Genomic DNA, 19,101 nt, shown 5'->3' on the forward strand with positions numbered 1-19,101 from the left:
CTACTAAAAATATAAAAATTAGCCAGGCACAGTGGCATGCACCTGTAATCCCAGCTACTCAGGAGGCTGAGGCAGGAGAATCACTTGAACCTGGGAGGTGGAGGTTGGAGGTTGGAGGTTGGAGGTTGGAGGTTGCAGTGAGCCAAGATCGCGCCACTGCACTCCAGCCTGGGCGAGAGTGAGACTCCATGTCAAAAAAAAAAAAAAAAAAGTGTCACCCATCTTGGAGGATCGTTACCAATACTTCATGAGTGAATACATACACATTTCTTAGAACCTAGGGTTTATAAACACTAGGAGTTAGCTGATACTATTGTTGCTAAGGATAGAGGAAATACGCATTAGAAGTTATTTACTTCCTTTAAAAAAAAAAATACCCTTTGGGTGTGTATTGATTCTGATGTTTTGCTCCTAGCTACATTTGCCGTTTTTTTTTGACTGCAGAATTAGGAACCAGCTTCATTTTTTTTTTTTTTTTTGGATGGAATCTCGCTCTGTCGTCCAGGCTGGAGTGTGGTGGCGCAATCTTGGCTCACTGCAAGCTCCACCTCCCGGGTTCACGCCATTCTCCTGCCTCAGCCTCCCCAGCAGCTGGGACTACAGGCGTCCGCTGCCACACTAATTTTTGTATTTTTAGTAGAGATGGGGTTTCACCGTGTTAGCCAGGATGGTCTTGATCTCCTGACCTTGTGATCCGCCCACCTCGGCCTCCCAAAGTGCTGGGATTAAAGGCGTGAGCCACCGCGCCCGGCAGGAACCCAGCTTCATTTCTTGTAAAGAGAGTTTGACAAGCGCTCCACTGGGGATAGCAGCACAGCTTCCTCCTTTTCTGTCCCTGTCTCCCTCCTGACTCTGCATCTGCCTCCGTTTGAAGCATCCTCCTCCAGTAAGTGGGTCATTTGGATTCCAAGGCCCTTTTGAGGCCATGGTGATGGATCATTTGCGTTATCAATGTGAACTGTGGATGTCCCTTCGCCCTTCAGTCTCTTCCTTCTTCAAGGAGGGGGAGGTAATTGGGGGTCATGTGGCCTGGGGAAGAGCCTGGTCACGAGCATGAGGGATGTGAGTGGGACTATGTTTCCAGCCAAAATTTAGGGCACAGGATCTGAAAAACACTTAGATTAAGTATCTGCAACACAAATTAGGGTATTTTAAATTGAATGTGGAGAACCCTGAGAACCTGTGCCCTTTGTGCGTGGATGGCTGCTTGCAAGGATGAGCATCCCCAGCTGGAGCGGCCCATGGCTGCCAGAACAGGAGAAGGCTTCAGTCAGGTGGGAAGCCAGCTGCAGTGTGTTGCCTGATGCAGGATGGTGCGAGAAGGAGCTGCTCTCTTGCTCTGCTCCCTGGATCGCACAAGGTCTTCCTGAGACCAGAATTCAAGGTTAGTCCTGTTTAGGCAACTTGGTAGATGGACTTGAATGGTCTTGCTAAGCGAATATTGCCTATGGTGGTATTTGCAAGGAAAACAAAAGTGTTTTGAGCCCAGACTAACCAATTTAACAATGCTAGTAGGTAAGGATACTACTGTTTGCTTTCTGTGATGAGAGGTCTCTTAGGAGGAGGGGTTAATTCTTTTGATTTAAAACTTACTACTTGAGGCAAATAGGCACATGAAAAGATGTTGAAAGTCACTAGTCATTGGTGAAATGTAAGTCAGACCCACAATTGGTACTTCATACTCATTAGTATGGCTATTACCAAAAACACCAGATGATAGCAAGCATAGGCCAGGATGTGGAGATGTTGGAACCCTTGTGCCTTACTGGTGAGACTGTTAAAATGGCACAGCCTTTTTTTTTTTTAACAGGAAGATGATATGGTGCTTCCTCAATAAATTCATCATAGAATTGCCATATGATCCAGCAATTCCACTTTGGGGTATATGCCCAAAAAGAAGTGAAAGCAGGGGCTCGAACAGATATTTGTACACCCATGTTCATGGCAGCAAATAATTCAAAATAGCCAAAAAGTGAAAGCAACTCAAGGGTCCATCCATAGACGGGTGGATAAACAAAATGTGGTCTATCCATACAATGGAATATCATTGAGCCTTAAAAAGGAAGGAAATTCTATGATGTGCTACAATGTCTGTGAACCTTGAAGACACTCTGCGAAGTGAAAGAAGCCAGTCATGAAAGGACAAACAGTGCATAATTGTTACCCTTACGTGAGCTATGTAGAGTAGTCACATTCATAGAGACGGAAAGTAGAATGGTGAGGGGCGGTGAATAGAGGCTGGGGGGAGGGAGCAATGAGGAATTGGTGTTTAATGGGTACAGAGTTTCAGTTTGGGAACATGTAAAAGTTCTAGAGGTGGATGGTTACGGTGGTTGAGCAACATTGTGAATCAGTGTCAGTGAACTATACACTTAACAAGGGTTAAAATGTTAAATTCTTTGTTGTGTATATTTTACCACAATTTTAAAAAGCTTATTTCTCAATTGTTTATGCGAGTATATGTGTGGAATAGTTGGGGAGACAAATTCAAGGAGACCAGTCCTTGTCCATGGCGGTCCTAGGTACCACGGGATCACTGCGGGGGAACTGTGAGGTCAGGAGAGGCCTTGAAAAAAAACGCAGGTTTGAGCTGAGTCAGATGGAATGGGTCTGTTTTCTATATCAAGAGACAGTATTGCAGATAATTTTTTTCTTTCAAGGAAAGCAAGTCAGGAGTCAAACTCATGCCACCGTAGTCACAAATGAAATTTATTGCTAATCAGCCATGTGACGTGTAATTGCTTTTTCATTTTCTTATTTTTCCAGAAGAGAGATTTGTTTAGATGTTTGATTCCCTCACTGATTATGATTATACTGGAAGTTTTTCATTTGTTTTGACAGCTCAATTTTTTTTTTATTGTAAATGGACTGCCTCATTACAGAGGGGGGAGCCCTTGAAAGAAAGGGATTGACCTCTGCAGGCAAGAATCTGAGCATCCTAAAAGTAGAAAAGGGCTAGAGGCTTCGCCTTACAGGCCAGGAAGCTTGGAGGGACGCGCTGCTAGAGACCATGGCACGCATGCTGTGTGTCGAAGGCCAGGTCCGCCTGTCTGCCTCTCCAGCAGATACTCTCTGGGGCTATTTTTTTCTGCTTGGTTGTCATCCTTTGGTTTAACCAGGCGCCAGGGCTCAGGCCTGGACCTGCTGGATTCCAAAGAAGACTTCGAGGTGGCCGAGCTTGTCTGGCTTCCAGAGGAGCTTTCTCTGTCCCGCCCGGGGGAGTGGCTCACCTTGGTCTGAGACCAATGGGAGGAAGCCTGCTGCGGGCAACTGGTCTGTGCCTGGAAGTTGGACTTGCATTTTCTCTGGACCTCCAAAGCAAACCCGAATGACCACTCTCATCCTCCCCTTTTGCTTGTTTGTGTATGTGCTTGTTTTGCCTGGTCGTCAGGCAGGAGGTGGTGTCAGATGATGAGAGGTGTTGCTCGTCCCTGGGTTGGTTCTCTTACGGGGCTGTATGGATGTCTTAGCTCAGACTGCTGTGACAGGTTACTATAGACTGAGGGCTAAAACCACAGACTTATGTTTCTCACAGTTCTGGAGGCTGGAAGTCTGAGATCAAGGTGCCGACCAAATTTGGTTTCTGTTAAGGGTCCATTTCTTGGCTTGCAGATGACAAATGTCATGTGTCCTCACAGGGTGGAGAGAGCAAGGGGCTCTGGTCTCTTCCTCTTTATGTAAGGGCATTGTTGCCATTATGGGGGCTCTACCCTCAGGACCTCATCTAAACCTGATTACCTCCCTAAGGCCCCACCTTCAGATACCACTGAAGGTATCTGGGGGTTGGGGCTTCAGTATATGAATTGGAGGGGACACAGTCATGCAGTTCAGAACAGTGGAGCAGTGTGCCATAGTGAAGGGATCTCCAGACCAGGATTCTCTATGGAAGTTCTTGGCCAGGTCTGAGAGTTGGTTACAGATCATTAAAATTTACATGGAATCCAGTACTTGAAAGTACATGTCTTCAGGATGGCGCTGAGCACATTCGCCTCTGTAACCAAATGCCTGAAATGTGTAGTGCACCTTCTGAGCACCCCAGTGCTTTCCTTAAAGTGAATGCAGTTTGAGAGGAACTCAATTATTGAGAAATTTTATATGACCCCATTTCTCTCATTTTAGGACAGATAAGTTGCTTATTTTAAACTCTGCAGGAGCTACATAGAGGAAGTTATACTCCAGGAGAGCTTAAATTTCACTCTCTGAAAACTCTGTTCCATGTAAGTACATTCCTCCTCTCTCCCCTCCTCAGTGAGCACGTACCCATCAGATGTGTGGAATTCTATTAAAAGCAGCTCCTCGTGACCCTCCAGGGTCTGTTTTGTAAAGCTGACACCAGCATCAGTGAGTTGGAAGGGGCTGCCACAGAAGACAGACTTACTGCTGCAGCCCGCTTCAGAGCCCTCAGTAGTACTTTTTCCTCTCCCAGCAAATCCAGGAGGCTGGGAAGGTGATTGTTAATTGTTTATGAGCATTAACTGTTTACCAGTCATACTTACTATTTTAAATCTGACCCTGCCATTATGTTGTTTTGTTTCTGTTCACAGCTGAGCTTTAAGCTGGGTAGAATTTCGTGATGAGTCACTCCTATGACTGTAAAATCAGTATCGATCAAGCCTTCCTGTTCATCCTGTGAGCAGTTTAGAGACAGATGAGACAGGCTTATGGTTTCCACTGGCTCGGCTCCGTGCGTGTGCGGATTGGGCTTCCTGAGAGCCTGGTTAGCCCCTTTTATCTGCTCTCTGAAACCTGCGCAAGGGTGTTTAGCATGCACCTTGAAACCTCTGCTGCCTGAAGACAGTGTGCTTAAATGAAGGGTATACAAACCCATGTGAGGTTTTCTCTTCCCTTTTCCATGAACTCCACCCCAATTACCTGTTTGAATTTTGCATGCCAGTTATTTTCAGGGAACTAGTGACCCTTTTCTTGCCACCCTGGGCTTTGAATTGAAGGCCAGTGTGCCACCTTTTCTTTGGCTTTGTTAGAACGTTGCCCTCAGGGTCATATGTGCTGGCTGCTATGAATTCTTACTGCTTGATGGACAGAGAAAGGTGAGGGTTAGATATCTGGACAGGGCATGACAGGGCGGGTCATCGAGTAGGAACATTGGGACCTTTTGCTTCCAGGCTTGAGCAGTGGGTGAGAAACACTGTCTTCCCATTAGGGCAGTGGGTGAAACACTGACTTCCCTCCATCCTCTGGGCAGCCTTGTCAGGTGGGTGTGGAAGCTGAGGTGTGTCTGCCCCAGGCTGTGCAGTCAGCCCCGTGTTCTAGCTTCCCGTGCCGAACCTGGCCCTGGAGGCTGTCTGCCTGGCAAGGGGGCTGCACAAAGCTCGGAGGGGCATTTCTGGTGCTTGGTAGATGGTAGGCCTGCCCCCAGTGCACTGATAAGAGCATGGGCTGAGAGTGCCACTTGGATTCGGCTACAGTGGGCGGCAGAGTGGGGGTGACTGGTGTTGCTTTTACTCTAGAGCAGAGGAGGCAGATGAGGTAGATCGGGGCCCCAGGGATGCTGAGCTGAGCTGGGTAGAGAGAATTTGGTTTTGTAGGATTTGGAGACAGAGACAAATTTGGAGTGTTTGGATGTTCGGGGACCTGCAGGAGGTATGTGAGGTGTGTAAAATGCAGCCCCTGTTTTAAAAAGAGCTTACATTGTCTCTTGAGAAGATAAGGTGTGCCCAGCTGTGGAATGGAACCAGATGCTTTTATGAGTGAGGATGGAGTGAGCACACTGGGAAAGAGCCCTGGAATTGGAGGAAGAGATCATTTTGCCCAGAGGGATCTTGGAGGTCTCCTGGAGGAGGGTACTTAGATGATCAGAAGGATTATACTAGACTTGATGGGGTGGTCTTGGCATCAGAACTTTAAAAATGTATTTTGGGGCTGGAAGCAAGGCTGGAGAGGAAGGTTTGTTTAAGTTGTAGTGGGGGATGAGGCTGGGGGCAAATCAGGGATGGTTTTCCAGGTCTGTAAAGGCTGGGGTAAGAGGAATGGTTGGTTCTTAAGAGCAAAAAAAATCCCTTACATATTGGTTCTCTTATTTGTGCTAAGTTAAATACATGGGAGGCTACTGGTGTTTATGAAATAACCCTGAGCCTTTTTGGGGAGGTAGTAGTGGATGTCTGATGGAAGAGATAGAAGACTGGTCCCAGGGGTTCTTAGTGGCACCTTCCTCTCAGGTCATCACTGTGCTTTTGCACATTGCAGTTATATTTGACTACATTTGATTATGGCAGATTTACTTAGAAGGGCACTGGAAAAAAGCCTCCCAAATTACAACTGACACAGGAAATGACTTTATTTTCTTCTATTTTTTTTCTTTGCTTTTCTCCCCCAATCAACATACATTTTTAAACCTGTCATCTCACATGACCTGCCGGTAGAATTGATATGTTTAATTTCTGTAGAAAATAACTGGAAATATTTCACAAGCTCCAGTAGCTTCCTGTTGTAGGGACCCTTAGGACTTTGGAATGAGAAGTTTTCTATTGAGTTGTCATATTTGGAAGGATAAAGGTGCCCTCTTTTCCCTCGATCCACATAGTAGACTCCTGTGTGCGGGCATTTGTTTGGTGTCTCACGTTGATGCAAATGCAGCCATTGCAGAGTGAGCCCCGCTCTGTTACTGGATCTCCATTTGCTCAAAAGAGAGCAGTGTCCCCCTCCAAATCTGCATGTCTGAAAGCATTCATGCAGGTTCATTGCATGGGTCTTTGCATTTTACTTAGACTTAGCAAAAATCAGGTATAGTCTTTCCTGAAAACAAAAGTGACCATTGTTTTTAATCAACTGCAGGGTGTTTGGAGTTGTGAAATATTTAGGGTCCCGAGTCCATTCCAGATTCAACATTGGGAAAGAATGAGAAAGCTGAAGCCTGGGGCAGGCTCTGTCTGCAGAAACCATGGGCTATCACCCCCTCTCCTTAGCAGCATTGTAAACAAACGTCATTTGTAAGGAGCATGTCCCAACTGAGCTTGTAATTATAGGGGCAAGATTTGTGTGGTGGTAGGGGCATGGAGCTGGAGACTGGGGGCTTCCTTATTGGTTCATTTATCCTGGCCCTTCTCTTTTCTCTCAAGTCTCAGCTCTTTTAAGATTCAGAAAATAATGCAAAATGCCTAAGATTTCTGAAATTCCTGGCTTCAGAGACTTGACTACATAAAAGAGCCAGGATTTTCAGGCTGGCCATTTCAGGATCAGCCATTTCCCACTTCCTGATTCATAGCTTCCAGGATTTGTAATGCCTGTAGACTTTTTTCTCTTTTGCTTAAAAGTGGCCATTGAAAGAAAAAATAAATAGCAAAATCCCCATCCCAGAAGTTCTACTTCCTGTTGTTGTACTATTGAGCTCTGAAAAACAGCTTTGTAAGTTTAGGCTCTTGTTTGGACTATTTCAGTGGAATTCTTGAGATCTTTTTGTTTGGACAGGCAAGTATGAAGGCGATAAGTCGAAAGAACTACAGCTTACTCAGCACAGAAATGCAGAGGCTCAAATTTAAGTTCTTCCTTAGCTTTATGGTGTGTATATTAATATAATCCAAGCAATAGTGAGTTGCTTAGCCAGGGTGCACAGACATTTTCCACAATGCCAGTTGTTTCCCTCATAATGTTTAATGTTTATTTTTAAAGGACATATTTGGGCACACGTTTCATTTTTGCCTGTAAAAGAATTGGGAATATTTATGATTCTTGCAACAAAGGAGAAGGATCCAAAGTAACCAAGAAAATGATGGACTGGCAGCCTTCACATTTTCCCACAACTCTTTTCATGAAATAAAATGTAGATAAGGCTGGGTGCCATGGCTCACGCCTGTAATCCCAGCACTTTGGGAGGCCGAGGCGGGCGGATCACCTGTGGTCGGGAGTTTGAGACCAGCCTGGCGAGCACGGCGAAACCCCGTCTCTACGAAAAATACAATACAAAAATTAGCCGCGTGTGGTGGTGTGCGCCTGTAGTCCCAGCTACTCGGGAGGCTGAGGTGGGAGAATCACTTGAACCTGGGAGGCAGAGGTTGCAGCGAGACAAGATGGCGCCATTGCACTCCAGCCTGAGTGACAGAGCAAGACTCCATCTCAAAAAAAAAAAAAAAAAAAAAGTGTAGGTTAGCAAAAGTGCCTACAGTTCAAATGCTTCCATGCTAAACGTTGTATTTCTTCCGGTCTCATTTGTGATGAGAGTCATAAGATTTTGAGAAATACAAAAACCTTTCCAGCTTTATAGGATGATAATGGCTTGGCCACTCAAGTAGTTCTGATTGGGTTAACTAATTTTGGTCCAGTAATCATTTCATTTGGGGTGAATGGATTTTTCCCCCCTAAATACGGGTACCTGGAAAGTTGAAGCAGTGAATCTGGTGAAACTTAATCAGTGATTTCGTAAGGGTTAACAAATGTTTCTGGGTGGGATTCCTAATGTCCAGCTTCCTCTGTGTAGCTCAGTAAGTCTTCTTTGGAGACACTAGCCTGCATTGTAAGACTGTCACATGGGAGCATCTTTTTATTTTATTTTACTTTTTTTTAAAAAAATGAGGTCTTTATTATCCTGGCTGGAGTGCAGTGGTGTGATCATGGCTCACTGTAACCTTGAACTCCTGGGCTCAAGTGATCCTCTTGCCTCAACCTCCCAAGTAGTTGGGCTGATAGACATGAGCTACTGTGCCACGTAGCATTCTTGGGGATTATTGTAGGGTCCTTTTGGACCACACATGGTTTTATACTCTGTAGCTGATTGATGTACTGGCATGTCAGTGACATTGTGTGTATCATTACACTATTTGGTTAATTGATGTACTGGTGGAATAGCCATCTTCTGGAGGCTCTTGTTTGCATACTTCTCTTAGTGGCGGACTAGCGGTTGTACAGTAAATAGATGATCATTCTCGCTCTGTTTTACCTTTCCTCAGCTGCTCTTCTAGTAGGAAAATAACAGCCCTCTTAGCTGTAGTCTTCTGGAGGCTCTCTCAATAATAGAAGTGGAAAGAAAAGACTCAAATCCCTGGGCAGTGACTTTTTAGTTGTTTCATTTGCTTTTAAGGCAGAAACACCTTTAACTCTTAGTAGCCTTACAGATCATTTTTGAAAACACCTGTGCTTGCCTTGAATGGGGCGGTGACCACTGGATCCCCCCATGCTGGGTACATGTTTTGCAGTCACAGACACTGCTGGCCTCACCTTTGGTGGTGAAGGAATGTTTCCAATTTCTGCTGATGGTGTAGTGCTCTTGGGAGCTGGGTGCTCTGAATGAGCAGATGGGCATCTGCTTTTTTAAGCGTGCTGTTCATTCTGCAAAATAGTTATTGTGCAAATACCTGATAAGCACCAGGTCTGTGCCAGGCGCTGTATTTTGTATTTTGCATGTCTGAGGCCAGCATCTTTTTCCCTGTTCCTTTTTCTCCTCATCCAGTGAACTTTCCACTGTGGTTGTAGTTTGTCTGAAAAAGATTTGGAAAAAATGTACAGCCATGTTTCTCTTGTCTAGAGAAGCTGTCTTAAGGACTTCGACAAGTTTCATTGGCAGAGTGAATGAGTGGTGGCCTCTGAATAGTTGAAATGTTAATGCTATCTATAGGTTCTAGAGAATCTGTGTCTTTAAAAGTCATAGCGATAAAGTCTCAGCTTTTTGAGAGAGTGGGTTTCAGACATATTTTAAAATACTACTATACAGGAAATCTGATTGTTGCATTGAAACAGGATTTGTTATCACATCACGGTTAGACATACCCAAAAGGCAAAAACTACAGTGGTCATGATGGCTTTACATAAGATTTTGGAGGAGAAACTGTTAGCTCCATGAAAGCAGGAACTGTGTTCACTCTTGAATGCCTGCTACCTGCACATGGTGAATGTTCTATAAATGTATATTAAAGAAATGGAGGTCCTTAGAGTTCCAAGATCACCGTCAATATCATCACCCTAGGCTTCCTCGTCCTTCCAGTTACTTCTTTTCCAGAAGAGTCCATTGCCTCCTTTATATGAGGTCTACAGAGCGCGTTCAGAGGGCTCTTATCATTGATTCAGCAATCACGTGTACACATAGCACTAGAATGACTTCACATATTTGACCTGTTTAAAAATAACGTGCAGCTATGACGAACAGCGAACCTTTGATTAGGGACACATTTGCCTGCCGCCAGACACTACAAGTATTATGTGTATTGCTTTTTTCAAATTATAATAGTAATAGATGATTATGAGAAGAAAATTAGAAAATAAGTTTTCTGTCTCTCTATAAAAGGAAAATAAAAATTATCCTTAATCTCAAGGTAACCATTGTTAATATTTTGTTGTGTTTTCCTGAGATTTTCCCCCTAGACTTATATGTGTATCTATATATTTAAAAAAATGAAATTAGTAGTATACTATGTACACACATATTGTGAATTTCTGCCCATAACATTATATCTTTATCACCTGGAATGAGGTCTTTAATGAAATTATTAAAATTAAAATTATTCTATAAATGCTAAATTTAGGTATTTTACAATTTTTTTTTTTTTTTTTTTTTTTTGAGACAAAGTCTTGCTCTGTTGCCCAGGCTGGAGTGGACTGCAGTGGTGCAATCTCAGCTCACTTCAACCTCTGCCTCCCAGGTTAAAGCAATTATTCTGCCTCAGCCTCCCGAGTATTTGGGACTACAAGTGCATGCCACCATGCCTGGCAAATTTTTGTATTTTTAGTAGAAACGGGGTTTCACCATGTTGGCCAGGCTGGTCTCAAACTCCTGACCTCAAATGATCTGCCCACCTTGGTCTCCCAGAGTGCTGGGATTACAGGTGTGAGCCACTGTGCCTGGCCCATTTTATAATTTTGATCATTAAAAAATGATGTGATAAAATTATTGTGTATTGTTGTTGATACACTACTCTGATTAATTCTTTGGGCTAGATTCCTAAAAGTGGAAAGTAAGGAATAAGAATTGTGTAAGTGTGCATGATCCTAGATAAATATTGCCAAAATATTTTGCAGAAAATTCTTAGTTTCAGCTTCCAGAAGCAGTGTCTGTCATCCATACTCCACCAGAATTGAACACTAAATTGAGCTTTGCAATTTTAGCATTTAAAAAGTTGTATCATTTAATATAGAATAGCAGTCTCTTCATTATGATCTTCCCTTGCCTAGTAAGTTTATACTCAAGTCAAAATCGGTTAATCATGCATATTGATTCCTTGTTTATCTTTTTCTTTTAATTCTTTAATACTTCTAGAATGTATTTGTAGTTAAGTGAAGTAAGATACCTCCTCCTGTTGACGATTTAGTTTCCCCACATTGTGCTGTTTTTTTTCTTCACTGGATTATGTAACAATATCTTTTCTTTTTTTTCTTTCTTTCTTTCTTTTTTTTTTTTTTTTTTTGAGAGAGTCTCGCTCTGTTGCTCAGGCTGGAGTGCAGAGGTGTGATCTCTGTTCAAAGCAGCCTCCCCCTCCCCAGTCCAAGTGATTCTACTGCCTCAGCCTCTTAAGTAGCTGGGATTACAGGCGTGCGCCACCACGCCTGGCTATTTTTTTATTGTATTTTTAGTAGAGATGGGGTTTCCACATGTTGGCCTGGCTGGTGTTGAACTCCCGGCCTCAGGTGATCCGCCCACCTCACCTTCCCAAAGTGTTGGGATTACAGACGTGAGCCACTGCGCCCAGCCTAGAGACTCTATTTTATTAGTGTTTTTTGTAGACAAAGTCTCACTCTGTTGCCCAAGCTGGAGTGCAGTGGCGCCATCTCGGCTCCCTGCAACCTCCACCTCCCGGGTTCAAGCAATTCTGCCTCAACCTCTCGAGTAGCTGGGACTACAGGCATGTGCCACCATGCCCGGCTAATTTTTGTATTTTTAGTAGAAATGGGGTTTCACTATGTTGGCCAGGCTGGTCTTGAAATCCTGACCTTGCGATCCGCCTGCCTCGACCTCCCAAAGTGCTAGGATTACAGGCGTGAGCCACCGCTCCTGGCCGAGACTCTATTTTAAAGCTGTCTTCTCCCACTGATTTGCCTTTTGTTTGTGGTAAAATCATTTTGTCTTAAACACTGTAGCTTCATTATACATGTTAACATCTGCTAGGAAGAATCTCCACTCAGGTTAAAAAAAAAAAAATTTGAAGCACCATTATTTCAGGTGAACTTTGTGTGTGTGTATGTTGTTTTGTTTTTGCAATTCTTCTCCGCTACTCTTCCAAAAAAGAAAACACAAATTCATTAGGTTTTGATTGTTAATAAATCAGTTTGGGAGAAAACATTTCCAGATATTTGAATTACTCATTCAAGGACATTTCGTGTTTCTCCATTTACTCAACTATTATCTATCTATGAAGAAATCACAGAAGGTCATAGAGGTTGTATACTTTTCCTTTTGGGTTATTTCTGGTTAATGAATGCTTTTTGTTGCTAATGTAGAAGGAATCTTTATTCCCCATTGTTTATTTTATATTTTTAAATTTTTTTTCAATTAAAAAAAATTTTTTTTTCATTCCTGAGACAGGGTCTCGCTCCGTTACCCAGGCTGGAGTGCAGTGGTGCGGTCATGACTCACTGCAGCCTTCAGCTCCTAGGCTCAAGTAATCCTCCACCTCAGCCTCCTGAGTAGCTGGGACTACTGGTATGCGCCACCATGCCTGGCTAAGTTTTTTCTTTTTCTTTTAGGGGCAGGATCTTGCTGTGTTGCCCAGGCTGGTCTCAAACTCATGACCTCAAGTGATCCTCCCACCTTCACCTCCCAAAGTGCTGGCATTGCAGGCGTGAGCCACCATGCCTGACCTTCCTTGTTTCTTTTAGGTGATTATTGGTTGTGTGTGAGGAAAGCTCTGGTATTTTCTGTACTTATCTTGTACCTACCCAATTTGTTGATTGCTCTTATTCGTTATAATAGTCTTTCAGTTGACTCTTCCTAATTTTTTTGTGCCGAGAATCATTGATGACAAATAAGGATAATTTGGTCTCCATTTTTCTGGTACATAATACGTCTTTACTTACCATCAGTTGTGTGTCACTTAGGAATATAAATGGCTGAAAATAACTGAAAGCCTGCCTAATAAGGGAGTAGGCCGACAGGGGCTGACTTTTCTCAAGTTCAGGCAGTCTGGAGGGAAGGAGTCTGTGGCTGCTGTGAGGTGCTCAAAGAGGGTGTGAGGACTGGGCTCCTGGCTTCTGTTTGTTCATCCTTAGCCTGTGGCTTTTGTCCTCGTGAACACAAGATGACCTCCAGGAATTATGTCTGTTTCAGGCAGGAAGAAGTTGAGAAGGAATGAAGACAAAAGGCAAAAAAGGCAGAATGACAGGTCAGCAAGCGCTGCTCAGCCAGTAGGCCCTGCTTCTCCTTGGCCAGAACTGAGTTGCATGCAGCTGGCTAGAAGGTGGGAGATGAATGTGGGTATGGCTAGTGGGTTGGGCATGGGGGTTGGGCCAACCAAGCATGGTTGGTCATAGGGTCTTGCTGCATTAGCCTGCACATCCAGAATTGTTACATGTTGATTACAGGCATATTTGTCCTTTTTTGTCTATATTAATGATAATGCCTCTGTTTCTCAATGTGTAAGGCATCTTTTGGTTTAAGAGGTTTTCATCATGTTGAAGAATTGCCTGTCTTGTTTTCTTGGGTGATTTATTAAGGATGGGTGTTGAATGTCATCAGATGTCATTTTGGCATTCATTTGGATTCAGAAGTGGTTGTTACACCTATTAATTGAGGTAGGAATAGATTACCTAGTAGTAATCCCTCCTCAAATTCCCGTGTTAAACTATTTTTGGTTGCGGTGGGTGGCTGTTTAAATTCCTAATTAAATTTGGTTTGCTAACATATTCAGATTTTTTAATCTCTTATTTTAAATGAGATAGCTTTACAGTTCTCTTTAGATGAGTTCTTTTCCAGATTTTGCTGTCAGGCCTAGACTAGTTTTGTAAAATGAATTAATGACTTTTCCTTTTTACCTTCTCTGTAACAGTTTTTATAGTGTGGCAATAAACTGTCCTTTGAAGGTTTGGAACAACTCACTTGTTAAATGCCTGGAGGCTGACACTTAAAAAAAAAAAAAAAGAATAGTTTTTGTTGTGTTTCTTTTTGTTGTTGGTGTTGTTTTTAGTCTTCAGTGCAGTGGCATAATCTTGGCCCACTTCAGCCTTGACCTCCCAGGCTCAAGCAGTCCTCCCACCTCAGCCTCCCTGGTAGCCGGGACCACAGGTGTTTTGCCGCCACACCCGGCTAATTTTTTATTTTTTTTGTAGTTTTTGTAGAGATGGGGTTTTGCCACGTTGCGCAGGCTGGTCTAGCATTACTGGGCTCAAGTGGTCCACCTGCCTTCGCCTCCCAAGGTGGTGGGATTAACAGGTGTGAGCCACCATGCCTGGCGTAAAAAGATGGTTAGTTTTTGTTTTGTGACAGCTTTAAAAAAGGTCTTCCATGGGTGTTGGTCTGTTCCAGGGTTCTGGTTCTTTCCTCTGATGCTCTTTTTTTTTTTTTTTTTTTTGAAACAGGATCTCGCTCTTGTCCCAGATGGTGTACAGTGGTGTGGTCATGGCTCACTGTAGCCCCAGCCCACTGGGCTCCAGCAAGCCTCCCACCTCAGCCTCTGGAGTAGCTGGGACCCATACCTGGCTAATTTTTAAATGTTTTTTAGAGACAGAGTCTCGCTATGTTCCCATGCTGGTTTTGAACTCCTGGGATCAAGCGACCCTCCTCCCTTGGCCTCCCAAAGTGTTGGGATTACAGGCATGAGCCACCATGCTGGCCTTCTGGTTCTTTTTAAATCAATTTTAGTAATTTAGTAATTTCCAGCAAGTCAATTAAAAATTATAGCTCAGTTGTATGTAGTATTTTCTGTGTGGTGTTATGCCCTCTGTATCTGTTTTCTCAGATGTTTTAGTTGCTTTTCTCTCTTAATCTTGATTAGATCTGCCAGAGCTGTGCTTATTTTGTGTCCCCATCCAAATCCAGAATTAATTGCCGTGCTCCACATGTTTTGGTCAATGGTGGACCTCGTCTGTAACAGTAGTCCCATGAGATTATAATGGGGCTGAAAACAGTGCTGTCCCCTAGGGATATCGTGTCTGTTGTAGTGCAAGGCACTGCTCACGTGTTTGTGTTGATGCTGGTGTAAGCCCACTGTGCTTCCAGTCAGATGAAAGTGCAGCGCATACAATTGTGTGCGGTACCTAATACTTGATAATAAACAACCATGTTACTGGTGTATGTATTTACTATGCTGTACTTTTAATTGTTAGAGTGTACTCCTTATACTTATTAAACACAAAATTAATTGTAAAATAGCCTCAGGCAGGTCCTTCAGGAGGTATCCAGAAGAAGGCATTGTGATCATAGGAGCTGATGGCTCCGCCTGGGTTACTGCCCCTGTAGACTTCCAGTGGGACAGGATATGGAGGTGGAAGACAGTGACATGGATGATCCGGACCCTTTGTAGGTCTAGGCTAACGTGTGTGTTTGTGTCTTAGCTTTTAACAAAAAAGTTTAAAAAGTTAAAAAAAAAAGTTAAAAATAGAAAAAAGCTTATAGAATAAGAATATAAAGAAAATATATACAAGAACCAAAATTTAAGAAAAATAAAGTTTGTAAAAGTAAAAAAAGTTGTGCTTAAGCTAAGTTTAATTTATTATTGAAGAAAGAAATTTTTAAATAAATTTAGTGAGGCCTAGGTATACAGTATTTATAAAGTCTACAGTAGTGTACAGTAATGTCCTCAGCCTTCACATTCACTCACCACTCACTGACTCACCCGAGGGAGCAACTTCCAGTCCTGCAAGCTTTATTCGTGGTGGTACTCCCATATACGTATGTATACTTTTTTTTTTTTTTGAGACAGAGTCTCGCTCTGTCGCCCAGGCTGGAGTGCAGTGGTGCAGTCTCGGCTCACTGCAACCTCCACCTCCCAAGTTCACGCCATTCTCCTGCCTCAGCCTCCCGAGTAGCTGGGACTACAGGCGCCTGCCACCACGCCTGGCTAATTTTTTGTATTTTTAGTGGAGACAGCGTTGCACCGTGTTAGCCAGGATGGTCTCAATCTCCTGACCTCGTGATCCACCCACCTCGGCCTCCCAAAGTGCTGGGATTACAGGCGTGAGCCACCGCGCCTGGCCTTTTGTTTCGTTTTTAAGAGACAGGGTCTAGCTCTGTCACCCAAGCTGGAGTGCAGTGGCGTGATTATAGCTCATTGCAGCCTTGAACTCCTGGGCTCAACTGATTCTGTTGTGTCACCCTCCCCAAGTAGCTAGAACTACAGGCTCATGCCACCACACTTGGCTAATTTTTGTTTTTTAATTTTTTGTAGAAATGGAATCTCACTATGTTGCCTAGGCTGGTCTTGAACTCTTGGTGTCAAGCAAGTGCTTGGCCTCTGAAGTGCTGAGATTATAGGTGTGAGCCTGGCCATATGTACTTTTTTTTTTTTTTTATCCTTCTTACTATATTTTTATTGTACCTTTTCTATGTTTAGGTATGTTTAAATACACACATACTTACCATGGTGTTACAACTGCCTGCAGTATTCAGTGCAGTAATGCACTACAGGTTTGCAGGTTGGTAGCCTAGGAGTAATAGGCTATACTGTATAGCCTAGGTGTGTAGTAGGCTATACCATTGAGGTGTAAGTATACTCTGATCACACAATGATGAAATCACCTAACTGTGCATTTCTTAGAATGCATCCCTGTCATTAAGTGATACGTAACTCTGCTTCTTTAAGCCTCTGTAGCACTTTGGTTATGTTAGGATTCTGTGTCTTTACAAGTCTGCTTTGCTGATCGATTGTGACATCTTGAGGGCGGCTGCACTACTTTCTGCCTGCACCTTGTTTCGCATGTCTACCTGGCGCATGACATACACCTCGTTGTTCAGTTCTTGCTTCTCTGCTTGTGTCTTTGCATTCACCACCAGCTATTCTGATAGTTATCAGGAGGTTTTCATTGATTGCAGTCTCGTGCAATGGGTGCAGGTAATGGGTAGCCTTATGGAGGAGAAAATGCTTACCTATTTGGGTTCATTCCAAGGAGTAGTTCAAGGATAAACCTCTAAGTTTGGGGAGTGCTGTAATTTGCTGGATATGTGAGCCATAGAAGACAGCTTGGATGGCATCTGATGCTTCCTGGCTGCAGGGATGGAGGCAGCAGACCCTCCTGCCTGGGGTGGTTGGTTGCCATCCCTGTCGGGGGCTCATGCTCCACCCTCAAGGCTATTCTTGGGGGAGTTGTGACATGGCTTTCATAAAAACTCAGTGGAATTTTACCCTGTGTATTAGTTAGTAAAGGTGAGTCTGGTTCAGTTGGTTTGAGTCAAAAAATCTGTTAATATCTCTGCTTTAGACCTGCATCAGGCTAATACTTGAATTTAGGGTCTGTCCCTGGTGTCATCTGAATTTTTGTTTGCTATGTGTGACCAAGGAGATGGTCACTCTTCAGGATGGGTGGGTGGAGGGGAGAAATGCTATGATTTCTGTTGGGTCATGTGAAATCAATTTGGAATGTGGATGGGGCCCTTACACTTTTTCTTTTGAGCTTAGTGATTTTCTGTGTAGGGTGGAGAGCGATTAGGAAGGAATTCACCACCCTTAGGTCCTCAGGCATAGGGTCTTCTAGGGGCAGGACTGATGAGTGAACAGCAGGGTGGATGGAGCAGAACCGTTGGAACCTTCAGGGCAGGACCTGCCACCATTATTTGGTCACAGGAAGTGTTCAGTGGTGAACTTGTTGGAAATGATTTTGAGTAACTTCCGTCTCCTAAATCATATTAGGACTCTTTGGTCTCCTATGGTTATCTGAGTTGTTTTCCAGGAGGAGCTGGGAAGGTACCAGGAGAAAGATGACTGTCCCTCTCATGTTTGCTGAGGGTGTTCCTGTAAGGTGAGCTAGTGTTCCTTTTAGGGCCCGTGGAGACCGACCTTCACATTGAAGAAGCATATCTGTGCTCCGAGATGTTTTCATGGGGAGAAGTGTCAGGTGTAATTATAAAAGGAGTCTTTCTCTTTAAATACTGTAGGCGATTTAGAAATAGTGGAGGTTTAATTGAAGAGCTTGTCTACGTTTTTACATTTTCCTTAGGCACAGAGAAACTAGTATCTTTCTCTGGGTTGCCTTTTTTTTTGGAGACAGAATCTTACTCTGTCATCCAGGCTGGAGTGCAGTGGCCTGATCTCGGCTCACTGCAGCCTCTGCCTTCCGAGTTCCAGCAATTCTCCTGCCTCAGCCTTCCAGGTAGCTGGGATTACAGGCACGTGCCACCATGCCTGGCTAATTTTTATATTTTTAGTAGAGATGGGGTTTCACCATGTTGGCCAGGCTGGTCTGGAACTCCTGATTAGGTGATCCACCCGCCTCTGCCTCCCAAAGTGCTAGGATTACAGGCATGAGCCACCACACCTGGCCTGGGTTGCTTTTTAAATTCATACCTACTGTCTTATTTGGGTCTCAAATGTGATCAGTGGTTATACTTTTCTTGCTATGCATTTAAGTTGGAGCAGGCTCCGGGGCACCACTTCCCTCCCTAGAGTTGATGAACCCCTCATATCAGTGACCTCCCCATGTCACAGTGTATCTCGTGTGCACTGCTAGATATTCTGATCACACAGTGCTGAGATTACTGGTTTCTCTCCCTTTCTCTTTCTGTGGTTATAGGGATTCTTTAAGGGCAGGCAACATGTTCTTTGTTTCCATAGGATCTGACAAAGTGCATGGCATAGGTAGGTGTTCATCAAAAGGGGTGGAATAGGGTTGATCTCAAGGGTTTTAAGAGAGATCTGACGAGTTTGGGTGTGTGACTTAAAAAGCAGATACAGCGCCTTTTCACGGATACACCTCCGTGATTCCTCAAGTGGTCTGGCTGTGTTTATTTTAGGATTCTAAAAGTAAAGTGTTCTGTTCTGAGTCTTTCACGATCTGATGTTCTCCAGTTCTGTGAGGTCTCCTCCTTTAGTCCCATCATTGGGGCTGTTTCTGCTCGGAAGGCCAGGAAGTTGCTGGAAGTCTGCTGGGCTTTGCAAAGGGACTTTTGCTTGTGTGGGCATTGCCCAGTTGTGTTACAACTTGTTTACAGCCGTTGGTTTTTAAGGGATGAGGTAATCTTAGCTCAGCTTAGTGTAATACACAACAGTTTTGTTTATTGAGAAAATCATTGTTGAA

General features: G+C 43.7%; 1 protein-coding gene across 7 annotated transcripts in view, besides 4 other annotated features; it reads left to right on the top strand.

Moving 5' to 3' along the window:
• Window positions 1-19,101, top strand: part of IGF1R (insulin like growth factor 1 receptor) — a 315,992-nt gene that overhangs the window by 15,959 nt on the left and 280,932 nt on the right. Inside the window, exon 1 of one of the 7 annotated variants that reach the window (XM_017022137.2) lies at window positions 463-1,384. The exons of 5 other annotated variants lie outside the window; for them this stretch is intronic. In XM_017022137.2, the coding sequence (XP_016877626.1) occupies window positions 1,216-1,384 (169 nt within the window). In that variant the 5' untranslated portion in view covers window positions 463-1,215. Of the gene's footprint in view, window positions 1-462; window positions 1,385-19,101 lie in introns of those variants that run through there. One more of the 7 variants, XM_047432442.1, reaches the window with a different exon arrangement.
• Window positions 3,935-5,134: an enhancer, noted in NCBI's record as "CDK7 strongly-dependent group 2 enhancer chr15:99211661-99212860 (GRCh37/hg19 assembly coordinates)". NCBI's record gives its function as "activates an origin of replication core promoter dependent on BRD2, BRD4, P300/CBP, MED14 and CDK7 cofactors, with strong dependence on CDK7, by STARR-seq in HCT116 cells {active_cell/tissue: HCT116}" and the evidence as "EXISTENCE:reporter gene assay evidence [ECO:0000049][PMID:35650434]".
• Window positions 3,935-5,510: a biological region, named in NCBI's record as "CDK7 strongly-dependent group 2 enhancer GRCh37_chr15:99211661-99212860".
• Window positions 4,785-5,510: an enhancer, noted in NCBI's record as "H3K27ac-H3K4me1 hESC enhancer chr15:99212511-99213236 (GRCh37/hg19 assembly coordinates)". NCBI's record gives its function as "activates a minimal SCP1, AML or CMV promoter by ChIP-STARR-seq in naive H9 embryonic stem cells {active_cell/tissue: H9 hESC(naive)}" and the evidence as "EXISTENCE:reporter gene assay evidence [ECO:0000049][PMID:30033119]".
• Window positions 6,239-6,964: an enhancer, noted in NCBI's record as "NANOG-H3K27ac hESC enhancer chr15:99213965-99214690 (GRCh37/hg19 assembly coordinates)". NCBI's record gives its function as "activates a minimal SCP1, AML or CMV promoter by ChIP-STARR-seq in naive H9 embryonic stem cells {active_cell/tissue: H9 hESC(naive)}" and the evidence as "EXISTENCE:reporter gene assay evidence [ECO:0000049][PMID:30033119]".

Source organism: Homo sapiens, chromosome 15, assembly GCF_000001405.40.
Source record: "Homo sapiens chromosome 15, GRCh38.p14 Primary Assembly".
Lineage (NCBI taxonomy): Eukaryota > Metazoa > Chordata > Mammalia > Primates > Hominidae > Homo > Homo sapiens.